Source organism: Homo sapiens, chromosome 6 (genome assembly GCF_000001405.40).
Source record: "Homo sapiens chromosome 6, GRCh38.p14 Primary Assembly".
Lineage (NCBI taxonomy): Eukaryota > Metazoa > Chordata > Mammalia > Primates > Hominidae > Homo > Homo sapiens.
The window spans coordinates 5721810-5736721 of record NC_000006.12 but is presented as its reverse complement, the minus strand read 5'-3'; the positions used below and the strand labels follow the sequence as shown (position 1 = coordinate 5736721).

General features: G+C 47.2%; 1 protein-coding gene across 12 annotated transcripts in view, besides 2 other annotated features; it reads right to left on the bottom strand.

The window, feature by feature from the left end:
* Nucleotides 1-14912, bottom strand: part of FARS2 (phenylalanyl-tRNA synthetase 2, mitochondrial) — a 521650-nt gene that overhangs the window by 34862 nt on the left and 471876 nt on the right. The gene's annotated exons all lie outside the window — the stretch shown is intronic.
* Nucleotides 7985-8114: an enhancer, noted in NCBI's record as "active region_23912". NCBI's record gives its function as "activates an Ori minimal core promoter by ATAC-STARR-seq in GM12878 lymphoblastoid cells {active_cell/tissue: GM12878}" and the evidence as "EXISTENCE:reporter gene assay evidence [ECO:0000049][PMID:35858748]".
* Nucleotides 12416-12735: an enhancer, noted in NCBI's record as "active region_23911". NCBI's record gives its function as "activates an Ori minimal core promoter by ATAC-STARR-seq in GM12878 lymphoblastoid cells {active_cell/tissue: GM12878}" and the evidence as "EXISTENCE:reporter gene assay evidence [ECO:0000049][PMID:35858748]".

Sequence of the window (14912 nt, the reverse complement as noted above, 5' to 3'; positions counted from 1 at the left end):
GCCATTTCTAGGATAAATAGCAAGGGGTACATGCAATTTTTTAAAAAAAAAAATCCCTTAAGGTTAAGCTGGAAAAATAGTTTCTAGCTTGTTTTTAAACTACTATCAGTTGAGCTTTTGCACTTGAATACAATCCAAAAAATAATCAGGTGACATGTCTTAGAATCAATGTGGACATAACCTTATTCTGAAGGGCTGCTTGCCCTATTTGCGCTGGTCTTTTTAGAGGCAACAGTTGTGAGGAGGAGGAGGAGAATTCTCTCAGCTCTCCAGAGACAAGAATGTGCCACCTGTGGTGGCAATCTCCAGAGATGCCCCCTAGAGATCCCCACCTCCTGGTGTTCCTGTCTTGTGTGGCCCCTCCCACAATGGACCAGGGTCAGTCTGTGTGTTCAAGAGAATATGGCAGAAGTGATGGTGTGTCACTTCCAAAGCCAGGCTACTCAAGACATGTGGCCTCTCCCTGCTCTTGGGTCACTCCCTGGGGAATCCAGCTGCAATGCTTGCCCTGTGGAGGAGCCCAGGTGGTGAGGAGCTGAGGTCTCTGACCTACAGCCAGGGAGGAACCGAGCCTTTCCTGGCACAGCCGACTGACTGAGCTTGGAAGGGGGTCCTCCAGCCCCAGTTGAGCCTTCAGATCCCTGCAGCATCAGCTGACATCTTGGCTGCAACCCCGTGAGAAATCGACAGCCAGAATCAACCTGCCAAGCCCCTCTGTTTTGGGGGGTAATTCATTCTGCAGCAACAAATAACTCATCTAATATCCTTCCCACTTCCTAAATGGTTCAAGCCAGCTCTCTAATCTTCTTGAGAACAGTTTCCTAAAAGAAGAGCATCAGTGGCTGTCAGGACACTCTTAACTTCCTTATGAGTTTTGGCAAGTCACAAAGCACGGTGCCACAGACAGGTCCAGCCCCACAGCATGTGTTCGATAGGCTGGGGATGAAGGCAGCTCCCAAACAGTGAATTTGAAGGGTTAGAACATTACCGCTATTGACCACGGTTATTAATAGCAAATACGCGGAGCTTCACAAAGGCCTTTCAGACTTCATACTGTTTTATTAGCAGGCGAAAGATAAAGAATTCTTGGGAGAAAACAGCCAGGACTGTATGGTGTACTATTAATTATAATCACAGTGACCACTTATGTGCTGACACTTCACATCTTTCTTTCATCTGATCCTCACAACAGCCTCGAGAGAAACGGAGGCCCCGAGAGGTCAAGGACCCAGGCAGCAAGGAGCGATGGAGCGGATGGAGTCAGGAGTGGGCCTGGAGCTGTCTTCCTCCAAAGCTCCAAGCCCTTAGTCACCAAAGTGTCCAGCATTTTCCTTGGTCCAGTCCACTAGTGTGACCTGGTGAGCTACACACACCAAAGGAAGGATCACAGGAAAATGACGTGGAAATAGCAGTGGATAGAATCAGAGAATCTGGAATCAAACTACAGTTCTGCTACTTATTAGCTCTGTGGCCTTGAGTAAGTTACTTAACCTTTCTGAGTCATTCATACATAGACATATTGCATAGATGTAATTCTATAATAAATGTATAATAAATGTAGCCAGGGGTACGTAGAGTAAAAAAGCCCTTGTTGGCTAAATTGAAAATTAAAGTTTCTAGACTTTGTTTTAAAATTAATAACTAATAATACTGTTTTGCATTTTAATATAATCCACAAAATGACCAGGTGACACATCTGGCAATAAACGCGGAGTGAATCTTCTAGAAAGCTGCTTAGTTTATTGGGGTGGTCTTTCTGGATGCAGCAGTTGTGAGAAGAAGAATTAACTACCTACAGCTAGATACAGTGTACTACACTAACGGTTTCTATCTGTGTGACAGACACAGTTTCTATCTACACTATAGATTCAGATTGTATGTATGCATGTATGTATGTATGTATGTATGTATCTATCTATCTACAAATCAAACAACCATCTATCTTTCCGTCTTATTTACAGAAGAACTCTCCAGGCTCTAATGAACTGTCCTCATTTTGTGTCAATTTCCCTAGGTATAAGATGAATATAATATAATGCCTATATCAAAGGGTTATTAAGAAGATTCAGTAAGATACTTTATACAAGGCATTTAAACTACTATCTGGCTATGTTAAGTGCTATGTACGTGTTCCCTGTCATCATCACCATCATCTCCTTGCTCCCTCTCTACAGAGAGGGATTCTGATCTGATGGGTCAGATTCTGGGTCCAGCTGGCTCTCAAATAGAGAGCACAAGCTGGCCATGTGTTGAAACGGTGCCCACAGATGCATGGCCCCTCCTGACACCCTCTCCTTGCTTTATGTCACAGTGGAAACAAGACTGAAAGCACAAGCCCTGCTTCCTTCTCCCATGTGCTTGAAGTCCTAAAGAAGACCAGCTCTTTCCTATGGGACAAGAGCTGGCTGTGGCTTTCTTTCTCAGGATAATGGGGATTCAGGATTGCAGGCTCTTGTGCTCCTCTGGTCAGACCCCCAGTGCTGGTCTGCGGGGGGCAGGAAGAGGTCTCTTTGGCCTTTAGGACAGGGGTCCTGCTCCAGCCTAGCTTTCTAGAATTCTCACAAGAATTATACAGGGCTCTATTTCCATCTACCACTGGAACTTGCCAAGAAGGGACGGCATTGTCCACAGCAGGTTTCGGCAATCCCAAACCCCTTAGCTATTACACCAGTTTAGCACTCTTGGATCCCTTGATTACTTTTTACAACAGCAATGGTGATTATAATAGCAGGTATTTCTTGTGGACTTACCATGCACTAGACATTCATATATCCATTCATTTAATTCTTACAACAACTGCAATAGCAAGGCTATTCCAATCCCTACTCCATACATGTAAGAAAACGAAGTCCAGAGAGGCTAGTGATTTCACAGGGTTACACAGCAAAGAACTAGGCTGGGACCAAAACTCAGTTCTCCCTCACTTAGGAGCCGGTGTCCTCCATGGTCAGTGGGACCTATCAGTGTGTGGCAGCTATGAGATCTCTGATCTGATTTCATGACACTGAGGAAAACCCAGATAGGTGGGTACAGCATGGACTCCACAGTGTTGCCAAGACTCAACTCTGGGCTACTAATCCTTACATGTTCTTGAGCAAAGGCAGTTAAAGACTGGAGAGTCAGCATGATTAAAATTAGGGCAAGGCAGTGGAGAGGAGGGAGAACAAAAACAAAATATAAACCCACCTGGGGCTATGAAATGTTTTTGGTATTTTGGAAAGAGAGTCAATGGTTAGGATGGAAAAAAATCACATCTTTTTAGAGCAAAAATTCCCTTTCCTGGTCCGTGGTATTGCATAGATTAAAGAAAATGGCCCACGTGACCTCCTGCTGTAATTTGAAATGATTCAGGACACACTCCATGTGTAACTGACAGAACTCCAATTTCCTCTGTTGAAAACGAAATCCCATTTTCACTTGTGGGTATTCCATTCATCTTTGCTTTTTTGGTTTTTTAATTACACAGTAGAAAGTGCTACTGTGATTTCCTCCCCATGTCATGATGGCAGTATTCATCAAGAAGTTTTTAATTCTATACAGCAATTGCTTCTCTTCAAAAATCTAATTTCAATCTCCGCAGAGGCAGAAGGGTAGGATTTTTTGACCCTGAGGTTAATTATCTGCAAATAAGTTAAAATCACACAAAACCTCTTTCTGGGAAAAGGGAATCCAAGCTCAACCCCTCACTTCACCTGTCTGGCCATTGGTGGTGGTGTGGAAGGTGAGGTTGGGTTGGGCACCACCTAGCCGGGGGCTTGGGGCCAGGACTGTCTCCTGGTGGTTGCATTTTCAGAGCCTTGCACAGTATGTGGCATGAAGGAAGAATTCAGCAACTGTGGAAGTGATGTGAAGTGAAGGCAGAGTGAATAGAAGAACAGGATTTGAATCATGCCTGATTTTTTTTTTTTTGAAGGATATGAAAAGGTCCTACCTATCTCTGGTGGAAAAAAGAAAGAGGGAAGCGAAGAGGAGACTCACTAGGAGCTGTCCAGGAGCTCGTGACTGGGGCTGGAGTCCGGCTGACCCATGGCAGGAAAGCTTGATGTGTCCGGGGATCAGGGCTCTTGCTCCCGGGCTCCGCCCCTTGGCACTGTGCTGTTTTTCTCCCTCCTCATTGAGAATGTCCACTCTTCTTTCCAAGTTCTCTAATTCTCTCTTGATGGGCCCAACATTCATTTCATTCATGGTCATTTATTCATTTGCTGAACACAATCTGTGTGGTCTGACATTGAAAGCTGGGGGAACGGGTCAGAAGGGAGAGGAGCTACAGAGATGAGAACAACGAGATCTAACAGGTGTTGCATGCTTGCTACGTGCCAGGCCCGACTGTGAGGCTTTCCCAAGCCTTAACCTGTCTAATCCTTACTGCCTCCCTAGGAGGCTGAACACACCTGGGTCACTGCCCTCCATGGAGGGCTAGAGTGTGCACCGCCATATCACCGACACGTACCTCTCTCAATCATGATACTCCTGTTTCCTGCTACTAGAGCCATTTGTTGACACTGTCACTTTCAACGACTGTTCATTCACTTTTGTGTCCCCAGCATCTAGCATAGTGGCTGGTACATAGCAGGTGCTGAGCAATGTTTGCTGTGTTATTTAAGCGACTTTCAATCCAACAAGAAAGGACACTCACATAAGAAGAACACAAAACCCTGCATGAGGATCATCGGGGACAGCTGTCTCAGTGACGGGGTCAGCAGGACCCTGAGGAGGAGCACAGGAGATAGGGAGGCAGAGAGTGTGGGGGCCAGGTGCGGCTCTACAGGGAGGCTCTCCTAGCTCGGGCTGCGTGAGAGTCTCATACAGCCAGGCCCATACAGCCCAGATGAAACATGAAAGAATAAACCACATCAGGACACTGAGAGGGGGAAGGGTCCCAGCCATCTAGCAAATGTTGAGGACCTCAGAGGGACCAAGGGGCCCTATTTTTCTGATTTTTTCTGATCTTCAGTTTAATGAGAAAGGATGTTGGAGAAGACAGACAGAGATCAAACAGCGTGTCCCAAAGTGAAAGATCCATAGGTTTTGGTGGAATTTCACTGCAAAGGGACTTTGAGCTCCAAGTACACGATACGCCCTGGCTTCTGCCCTGCTATGACATGGTGCTACTCATAGAGGAGTACACAGGAGATCAAAGGGTACAACAGAATAAAACTGTTCATTAAAAACCATACTCCGGTGTGTGAAAAGTGCTCAAAGAATGGCGCCCATGGCTTCTAATCCAAGGGGCAGGAGCCCAGGGCGTGAGTGCAGAAGCAGGAGACATGGAACGAATCTGGGGAGCAAGAGGATTGAGGATCTGGGGCCACGGTCTCTGAGGGGACCAAGGAGACAGCCTCACAGAGGAGGAGAGTCTGGAGGGCTATATGGAGAGAGAGGAGAGCTGAAAACAAAGAGGAGGAAGAAGGGAAAGAAGAAGGCACATGGAAGAGAAGGAGGAAGAGGAAGGAAGGAAAAACAGGAGCGGGGCTTGTCTTCCTCTGAGTGGTAGTTCCTGGGATCTGTCCAATATACTCAGTCTCATTTTCCCAGTTTCTTTATGCCTCTTTTAAAAAGCCCAACTCCCGGTTTCTCTGAAATGACCAATGCTTGTCACTTTCTCAGATCAGCTGACTCTCCTGACAATCATCGGGGGCGGGCTGTATGGTGAGCATGTACACACATGCTCCAGGTCTCAGTGTTTTCTCCAGACAAATGAGCGTGTAGTCATTAGGGTTGATGCTTTCAGAGCCAGCAGTGTGGGTCTGTGTCCCAGCTCTACCACTTAGTAGCTGTGTGACATTGGGCAAGTTACTCAACCTTGCTGTGTTCCAGTTGCCTCATCTCTAAAAGACCATCTAGGGCTGAAAGGATTAACGGAGTTAATCCGTATAAAGCTCTCAGAACAGTGCTTGAAACATAAGCACACAGTAGAACTGGCAATCATCATTGCAGTGGTTAGGGGAGGTAAGATTACTACTACCAAAAGAACCATTTAATAAGAGTAAGTGAAGACTTTGCTCATGACCTCTAGAAGATTGCCAACTCTTGCAAAATCTGTCCTTTGTGATGAATATTTTGCTCCTCTTAGGAGGAGGTTTAATTCCTCTCTACTGGCCCTGGGCTCGGACATATTAACTGATGATGGTGAATTACTGCCTTGTGACACATCTTTGGAAAATAAATCTAAGAAAAACAGTTCTAGTTGTAAAAAAAAAAACCTCTTTGTAATCTAGAAAATCCTTTTTCTACATAAATAGATCTAGGACTCGGTAAGTGATCTTCCCTGTGACCAAAACATTTTCCTCTGTCTTTACCATTCTTCCTTCCCTCTGGTCTCAAAAAAGCAGCATCTCTCTTCCTCCCAAGTACCTTCCCCCAACTATTTAGTACCTTGGATCTTATCCAGCTTGCTCAGTAATTATCTCCTCTATCCTCAATCAATCAATTGCGCTCTCTCGCTGTCTCTCTCTCTTTCTAGAAAGGCTCACAGTTTGAGTATGTTTAGCTCCCAAGGCACTGCTGTCCCAGGATGGATATTGGGCAGCTCAGCTACATGGACAGATGGACAGATCAATGGGTAAGCAGATAGGTGAATAAATGAACAATTATTAAACATTCAGTAAACAAACAGACTGGCATATCTTTAAAATGGGTGGGCTGCCTTGGTGTGATTCCTGTAGACCAGTGGTTCTTATCTGAAGGGAATTTTGCTCCCTAGAGGGCACTGCACAACGGCTGAAGATATTTGTGGTTGTCACAACTGGGGTCAGGGGGCTGCTCCTGGCATCCAGTCAGCAGAAGCCAGGGATGCTGGTAAACAGCCTACAGTGCCCAGGTCAGCCCCCATGATAAAGAATAATCTGGTTCAAAATGTCCATAGAGTTTTCAAAGGTGGCTCTTAGGAAACAGGTAGGTGTTTTCAGGGTAAGTGAAGGAGCATAGGAGTCATTTTATACTTGAAAATATGTGCCTTGAAAGCAAACATACAAAAAACAAAAACAAAGCAGAGAAAGAAGCCTGTGCCTAAAAAAATGAGGGCACAGGTACTTGTGGGTAACCTACACGTCCATCCTTGAAGGGGAAAGAAGAGGGAAAGGCAGATGCAGTCCTCTGAGTACCGAGGAGGACAAAGCATTGCAAAAGACCCTAAACATTTTCCAAGAGAAAAATACAATGAGCATAAACCTCATCTTTGGAAAATCTTACGGCCAGGTGCAGGCTGCTTTTTCTGGACAAGCTCCCTAGCCTCTAAGGTATGTGTCTACTCAGCTGCCTTTGCCCATTTCCTCCAGTGACCCCACTCCAGTGTCCTCAGCCCCTGCTCTCTGGGACGTCCACGCCCCCATTCCAGGGGCAGGCTCTGAGCCTCGCCTCTGCTGTGCCCGTGGGAGGGCTGGGACAGTCACAGGGCCTAACTGGACACCTCCAGAGACTGACGATGCTCTGGGGACACCTCATTCATTAGCACGAGCTATTCATTTCCTTTACCTCGAGAGGAAGGTGAGTCAACACACACTCAAGACCAACTCCAAACACCAGCTGCCCAGGGCCTGGCTCTTTCCTGCAGCAGGAAGATTGATTCCACCTGGGACTAAATGCCTGCTTTGCTTAAGTGCCCTTTTCAGTTAAGTTGTGAAAAACGGAAATAAGAGTCATCTGCAGTATGAGTGAGCACTGCAGATGCCGAAAGCCATCGGAATCTCCTGCCAGCTTCCCAGGTAGCGGGCGTCCTAGCAGGCTTCAGAACAGGCCACTGTCAAGAGCACACCAGCCAGTGCTGGGGACAAGGAATATCTCTCCCCGTCTACCACCTTCAAAAGTCAGTGAAGGGACAGTGGTGAGCTCAGGCAGGGTTTCGGGGCAGGCAGTCCCTGCAACGTAGGGTTGCCGAGGGAGGCCAGCGCAGTGGCTGAGAGAGGAAAGTTTCACCCAAATCCACAGCTCACATCGGGAGAGTACCTGGTTATTTTCTGAAGAAACCCGACCGCGGGAGGCTCAAGGCTGGACTTGCCACTTCTAGTACTCTAAACCCAGCCTCCATTTCTTTCCTCCAGCTAGACTTCCCTGAAGAAGAGGGAGCTGTGTATACTGAGCCTTTCTTTATGATTTAAACCAATTTGCTGCTAGTTATAGCTATCCACGGCGCACAATGTGTTTTTCCTGTCACTTACTGCAGGCAGAGAATCATGTGAGTGTGTTCTCAGCTTTGCCAACAGCAAAAATCATTTTGAAGAAGGCATCCTTTTTCCATGAGTAGAATTATTCCCTATACCTCCTCACCCCCTCCCTGTCATGAATAAACAGTCATTTTAGCGTCAGCAAACCTCACTCCAAAAACAGGCAAAGCAAAACAAAAAACAAAAACAATAAAGCTTTAATGCTCCAAAATCCATAATCCCCCTCCAAATGTCACTGAGTGAAAGCACTCAAGACCCTTCTAAGCACATTAGCAAGCCAAACCAGCCCATTCCCAGCTATTAGGCTATTTTGAAACAAACCCAAATTATTGGGTGGAATTGCAGGCCCGGCCTAATTCCTCCATTTAAGTTTCTCAGGAAACTATCCCTGTGATCGGAAACCCTGGCTACCCTTTGAGATGAACAAAGGAGGCAGACACTGTTGATGAAACATTAATGACCAATTTGCAAATGTTCTCGGACCCTGTTAGTTCATCGAGGGGCCATCAAGGCGGCATCCACTCATCTCTCACTTTATTCTTTCAATTATTTAGCATCCATTAAGTGCCCACGGTGGTAAGCGAAGCTCCCAGGGACCTTTCACCCCAACACTTCCCCTCTAACAGCGTCATTCACCTGGTGGCCCTCCCAGCTGCACGGGCAACTCAACCTTTGCCTTGAGGCAGGAAGCTCATTTAGAAATCAGTCTGTTGGTATCCCTCGCATTACATATCCAAGTGCTGGGGACACATGGCAACGAGCAGAATGTATAGAAGCTCGAGGAAGTGTTTTGAGCTGTCAGAGTGCATTGGAAGAAAATGCACCTGAAAATATGATCCCTGTGGCACTCCAATCTGTGAACTCCTCAGACCCACTTTATCTGGACTTAACTCATTAATTGGGGCGTGTATTAAAGATGTATAGGTGCCACAATGGCCCAAGCATGGCCTCAGTAGGAAGACAGGGATACAGTAACAGCTGCAGGGAGGGCTGAACAAGGCTGCAGACTCACAGAGCCAAGTCCTGACCACATGGAGACCGCGGAATGCACTTTCTTCAGTTACCCGAAACCCGCTAGCGTGGCATTTTATTTAAACAGAAAGTCTCTGACCTGGCCTTTCCTACGTTCTGGCCAGTCAGCACCCTGCCTCTGAAAAGTGTAACAAGTATAAGTGACACCACTGCCTCAGAGAAAGTAGCAGGCGCTGTGAGACAGGCACAAACGCAGTGTTCCAGGAGACCAAGGGAGGAGGGAAAGTTCTGTGCAGAGGAACGGGGTCCAACCTCATAGAGGAGGCTGCATTTGAACCATCTGAACCACTGAATAAAACTAGTGATGAGAGGAACAGCCCCTCCCATGCCCACCCCTACAGCAGCAGCCGCCGTTACTGTTGACTGAGCAGCTTCCTGGGTGCCATGCACTGCAGTCACGCTTTTCCTACCAGTAACAGCCCGGTGAGGAAGGTAGGTACTGCAGAGGCATTGCTCCTTTACAGACGGTGGAAGTGAAGCTCAATGAGGCCAAGTATCTGACCCAAGGCCATACCATTTGCAGTTGACAGCGGTCACGAAGGTATTTGAACTGTGCTTGTTTTAACCAAGACCATCAATGGGATAGCCTAAGGATGCTACTTTCAGCCCCTGTCCAGTTACCCGGGAAGCTCACCCTGGAAGGGCCATGATCCTGAGGAAGCACTGTCTGTGAGGAAGGGAAGGGCCCACTGTCTCTGGTGCAGGAGCCATTGGCTGGGAATTTCCATTCCTAGAGATGGCGGTGCCCCTGGGGCTTAAAGAGGGCAGAGGGGTTCGCAGATCAAGAGCAGTTCTTTAAGAACTGACATGCCCCACCCTCTGGAGCCCTCCATCTCTGCTAAAACAATGGCTGCTCTGCAGTTGTGGTCTCCGAGGCATAGAGGGATCCTGGGCACATGCTCCCTCCTTTACTTTTTCTACTTTAAAAATATCGTTAAGACAATTGCAGAAATATTAAAGGAAAACAATTCATGTGCTCCTGCGCTGCCCATCTTAACACGAGTGCCACTGTTTATCTGTGTTTCTTTACGGCCCTGGCTCATGTGCAACCATGTTTTTACATCGTGAGGACCATCATGCATGTGTGGTTTCAGGCTTTATTTCATTTATCATCATTGCCTAAATATTTGCCCATGCTGCAGCAGAGTCTTCATTCTTAGCATCATACTGGCGGGCTCCAGCCATCATCTAGGAGCCCCCTGGCACTGGGCCTGCTGGTGAGGGAGTGAGGCGCTGCAAATTCCTTCCCCAAGTCTACGCGTGGGCAGCATGGCCTCAAACATGCACACGTGTATTGTAACCCCTGATGAGGGCCTTCTGGAGGTGATTAATCCCAAGTGAGGATTAAAAAAAAAAAGATTCTAAAAAGAAAAAAAGAGCCAGGTTTCTACTTATGTGAGTGAACACAGTGCAGGTGCCGTTTTGAGGAAGGTGGCAGCATACCTAGTCTTTTAAAGTCAGGCCTCTACTGTGCCCTACTGTGAATGACACCCACTGACCCAAATTCATCCACCTCCTTCCAATGCCTATTCCAACAATGATGATGACAATGGTGGTGATTATAATACCAGCTTACCCTTATTTATTTATTTAGAGGCAGAGTCTTGCTCTGTTGCCCAGGCTGGAGTGCAGTGGCCCCATCTCGACTCACTGCAACCTCTGCCTCTCTGGTTCAAGCGATTCTCCTGCCTCAGCCTCCCGAGTAGCTGGGATTACAGGTGTGCGCGCCACGCCCAGCTAATTTTTGTATTTTTAGTAGACACGGGGTTTCGCCATGTTGGCCAGGCTGGTCTCGAACTCCTGAGCTCAACTGATCCACCAGCTTTGGCCTCTCAAAGTGCTGGGATTACAGGTGTGAGCCACCATGCCTGGCCCCAGCTAACCTTTTTAAAGCACTTTTCCACAGCTAGGCAAAGCTCCAAAAATGTCACATGCATCAACTCATTTGCTCTTTTAAGTACATACCACTATTATTTCTGTTTTACAGATGTAGAAACTGAGGCACAGGGAGGCCAGGTAACTCTTCCCACTGCCAGTGGCCAGGACTGGAGCCCGGGCAGCCAGGCTGCAGAGGCCATGCTTGGAACCATTTTAAAATAACTGCCTCAAAACTCAGACCTAACTTCCCTCCCTGCTCAAAGGTCTTCTCACCTGATGATCATCAAACGCAGTTCCAACTTCTTACTCTGGCACTTAATGCCTTGCCCAACCTGCCTCCAAAGCTCCTTTCCAATTTTCTCCCCACGGACACCTTTCACCTTCCTCCATACACCCCAGCGCCCATGTTCAAAGTCATCACGCCATCCCCAAAACAGGCTACGAATTTGGCCATCACTAACCCTCTCTTTCAACTAAAGAAAGCTGCTCAGCACTGGGGTGTCTGCTCCGCATCATCCAGAGATTTCATGGAAATCCCACGGCTTTTAAGTCAGGCCATTGCAAAATACCTTCCCTTAGACAGAAGACATAGCTGACTGTTTTCCACGTGTGGTAACACGGTAATAGCGAGAAACTTCATTTCATCTTTAGAATTTTGTGTGATTATTTGTTTAATGGCATCTGCCCCACTACGTTTTAGTCTCCTGGAAGGAAAGGTCTATGTCTGTGTCTTGTCTGCTGCCTGGCATGGTGCAGGACACAGAGTAGACCTAACATATATTCCAAAAAGGGGCAGATGTATTTCATGTTACTGTGGAGACCTGAATTAGGATTCATCTGTGGAAATTATGGGGCAGATTATGGCTCAATGTAAAGAAGAATTCCCTGATTACAAAGAGTGGTCCTGAAGTACGGTGGGCTGCTATGCACAGAGGCTGAGGGGAGGTGAGTGCAGCCAGTGTCGGGGAGGACACAGAAGCCTCAAGATCCTTCCGTGAGGGACAGTCTTAGCCTCGGCTGGCCCCCGTAGAGCACCAGGCTCAGGCTGCAGGATGCGCTGTCTCCTGCCAGGCACAGTCATGAGAGGAGTTCTCCTCCTCCCTTCTCAACTAGTGGTGGTTTCTTTTTGCGTCCTGGGGGCTCTGTTCCTTGGCTGTGGGCCACCCTGGGGACTCAGAGCTGGCTCTGGCCACCTCATGGGCACAGGCAATCCTGAGACTCAGGCCACAGTGGCACTACTATGGTCATGGATATTTCGTGATGACCACAAAGGGAAGGGATGGCTCCAGCAACGGAGTCCCCTGTCATTTCCTGTGTGCAAACATTCTGCTTACTCCTTGTCCCTGCTAGCTCCTCTTCATCCTGGAACCCAGAATCACCCAGCTCCTCTTGAATCCAGCAGGGAGGGCACCGGTGGTTGCCCTCTCAGGTCTCTGATGGCTGACAGCCCTGTGCCAACCCTTCCTTAGGAAAGGCGTCTAAGCTGTGGAAGCTGCCTAATGGCGCAGATTCTAAGCCCCATCAGAGAAGTGAAACCATGCAGTGTGGGGAAAAGGGAACTGAAATTGAAAACCCTTGCCTGGAGCGGCCTCCCGTGTAACCCACTGGGGCGGCCCTTCCTTTCCCGCCGAGCCCACTCTTTCTCTGACAGCCCCTGTGCGGTGGACAGCCCAGCGTGGCCACCGCTCTGCAGGGTGTTTCCTCTGTCTTGGGGGAGTGTGCCTGTTACTAGCTGGGCCCCTCACAACAGAGACCGCCTGCTGTGGCCGCTTCTAAAATTCATTTCAAGGCACAGTTTGGCCCAAAGCCCTGAAGCCTCTTTTCAGGAAGAAAGCAAGGAGCCTCCCAATTTCATTTTGTTTTCTTACTGCTTGTTCAAAGAACAATCATATAAGATAAAAATACCATCCCCAGGCAAAGAGAATTTAATTCAAACATTCTTGAGAACAGATTCAACAACCTTTTCCTCACACGCAAAACAAAAACAAACCTGCTTCATTCTTGGTTTTTCCCAGTTACATAAAGAAAGGAAAAATGGATCGAGAGAGGCAGTGTATACAGGAGAGAGAATCTCCACCTGTGCAGTAAACGTGACTGAGAGGCTTGTGACAGCGGTTCACAGGCATTGTCCTGTTCGATGTTCTCAACAAGCCTATGAGCGGATCCTGCAATTATTCCACATCATAGATGAAGAAGATGAAGACACTGAGGCCTGGAAGGGTCTGCAGCGTGTCCAAGGGTGCACACAAAGCCGAGTTTTGAATCCAGCAGCCTTTTCCCATGACCCATGATACTACACTTGATATTTGCAATAACTAGGGTTGAACAAGCTAGAAATCAAACGGCATGTAAATAAATGAAATATATAGATATGAGCTTTGTTTCTTTTCTACCCTTATTCTCTTTTTATATCAAACCCAGGGGCACGTACTTGGGTCTGTCATGACCCACGGCTCCCGACACACTCGCGAGTGGCCCATTCGTGGCCTGTCACCTTCACTCACTCACCCTTACTTAATAAGATCACAAACACCCACAAAACCCCACTCACCCCCAGAACCGGAACTCGGATGAGGACTTTTGTCCATCTGTGGAGTCTTCCCCAACTCATCCTCCTGCCTGCCCTCTCTCAGGGAATCACTGTTCTGAATCCTTGTTTATTGCTCCCTTGACTTCCTTTGTAGATAGCTCTGAGGTTTTAGTAAGTTGTTTATTTTATAAAATGAATACCATGCTGTATGTAATCTTTTGGGATTTTCTTTTTTACTTATATTTACAACTTCATAACTAGGGTTTAGAGTTTCAAACCCAGTCGTGGCCCCCTAGAGAAGAATGGAGGTGGAAGTGGGGTGAGGGGAGACTTCCTGAGGCTACAAGGTGGACATGACCTTTCACCTTGCTTCACACCCCTCCAAGGACATCCTCGTTGCACTCAGAATAAAATCCAGCTCTCACCTTGGTTCCTCAGGCCCGATCAGTGTAGCCCTTGACAGCCTCACTGACCTTTTCTCTCCCTGCGCTTCCCCCTCCTCACCATGCTCAGCACAGGGGTTCTTCTGCTGCCCCTGGAACATTCCCTGTGAGCTCTTGCCATCAAGCCTGGGCTGGCTATCCCAGTCGACCTGCTCTTAAGTTTCATCTTAAACGTCACTGCCTCCGCAGCCTTTCAGGGCCATCCCACCTGAGATAACCCCTCTGTCACAGCGCACTGCTTTGTTTTGGTTACAGCACCCCTGATGTATTTTGTTTATTATCTATCTTCCCCCTTTACAAGAAAAACGTCTTGTCTATGTCAAACTGTATATCTAGTGAGGAGTTTTAAAAGACTGTTCTGCAGACCTGTGGGGGTCTCCAAAACCCTTTCAGGGATTTGTAAGGTCAAAGCATTTTCATACTATTAAGACTTTATTTGCCCTTTTCGCTGTATTGCCACTTACATCTTTGGTGCAAAAGCAACAGTAGATAAAACTGTGGGTGCCTTAGCTGGGATCAAGGTAGTGGCACCAGCTTATACTGGCAGTCACTGCATTTTTTACCATCTCACACTTACAAGGAAAAAAACAACAATTTGTTTCATCCATTAAAGCTGGAAAAAAAGAGAATATTTAAAACGTCCTTAAAAAGCACTACAAATTATTACCTTTATTAAGTTTCAACCCTTGATATGCCTTTTTTATATTCTGTGTGACTCAGTGGGAAACACACACAGAGAACCCGTGGTACACGCTGAAGCACAAGGTTGTCTCAAGGAAATGTGCATCTGAGATTCAACTGTGAGCTGAACCAGCAACTCTTTTTCATGGAACATTATTTTTACATGGAAGAAGTACTGACAGACCA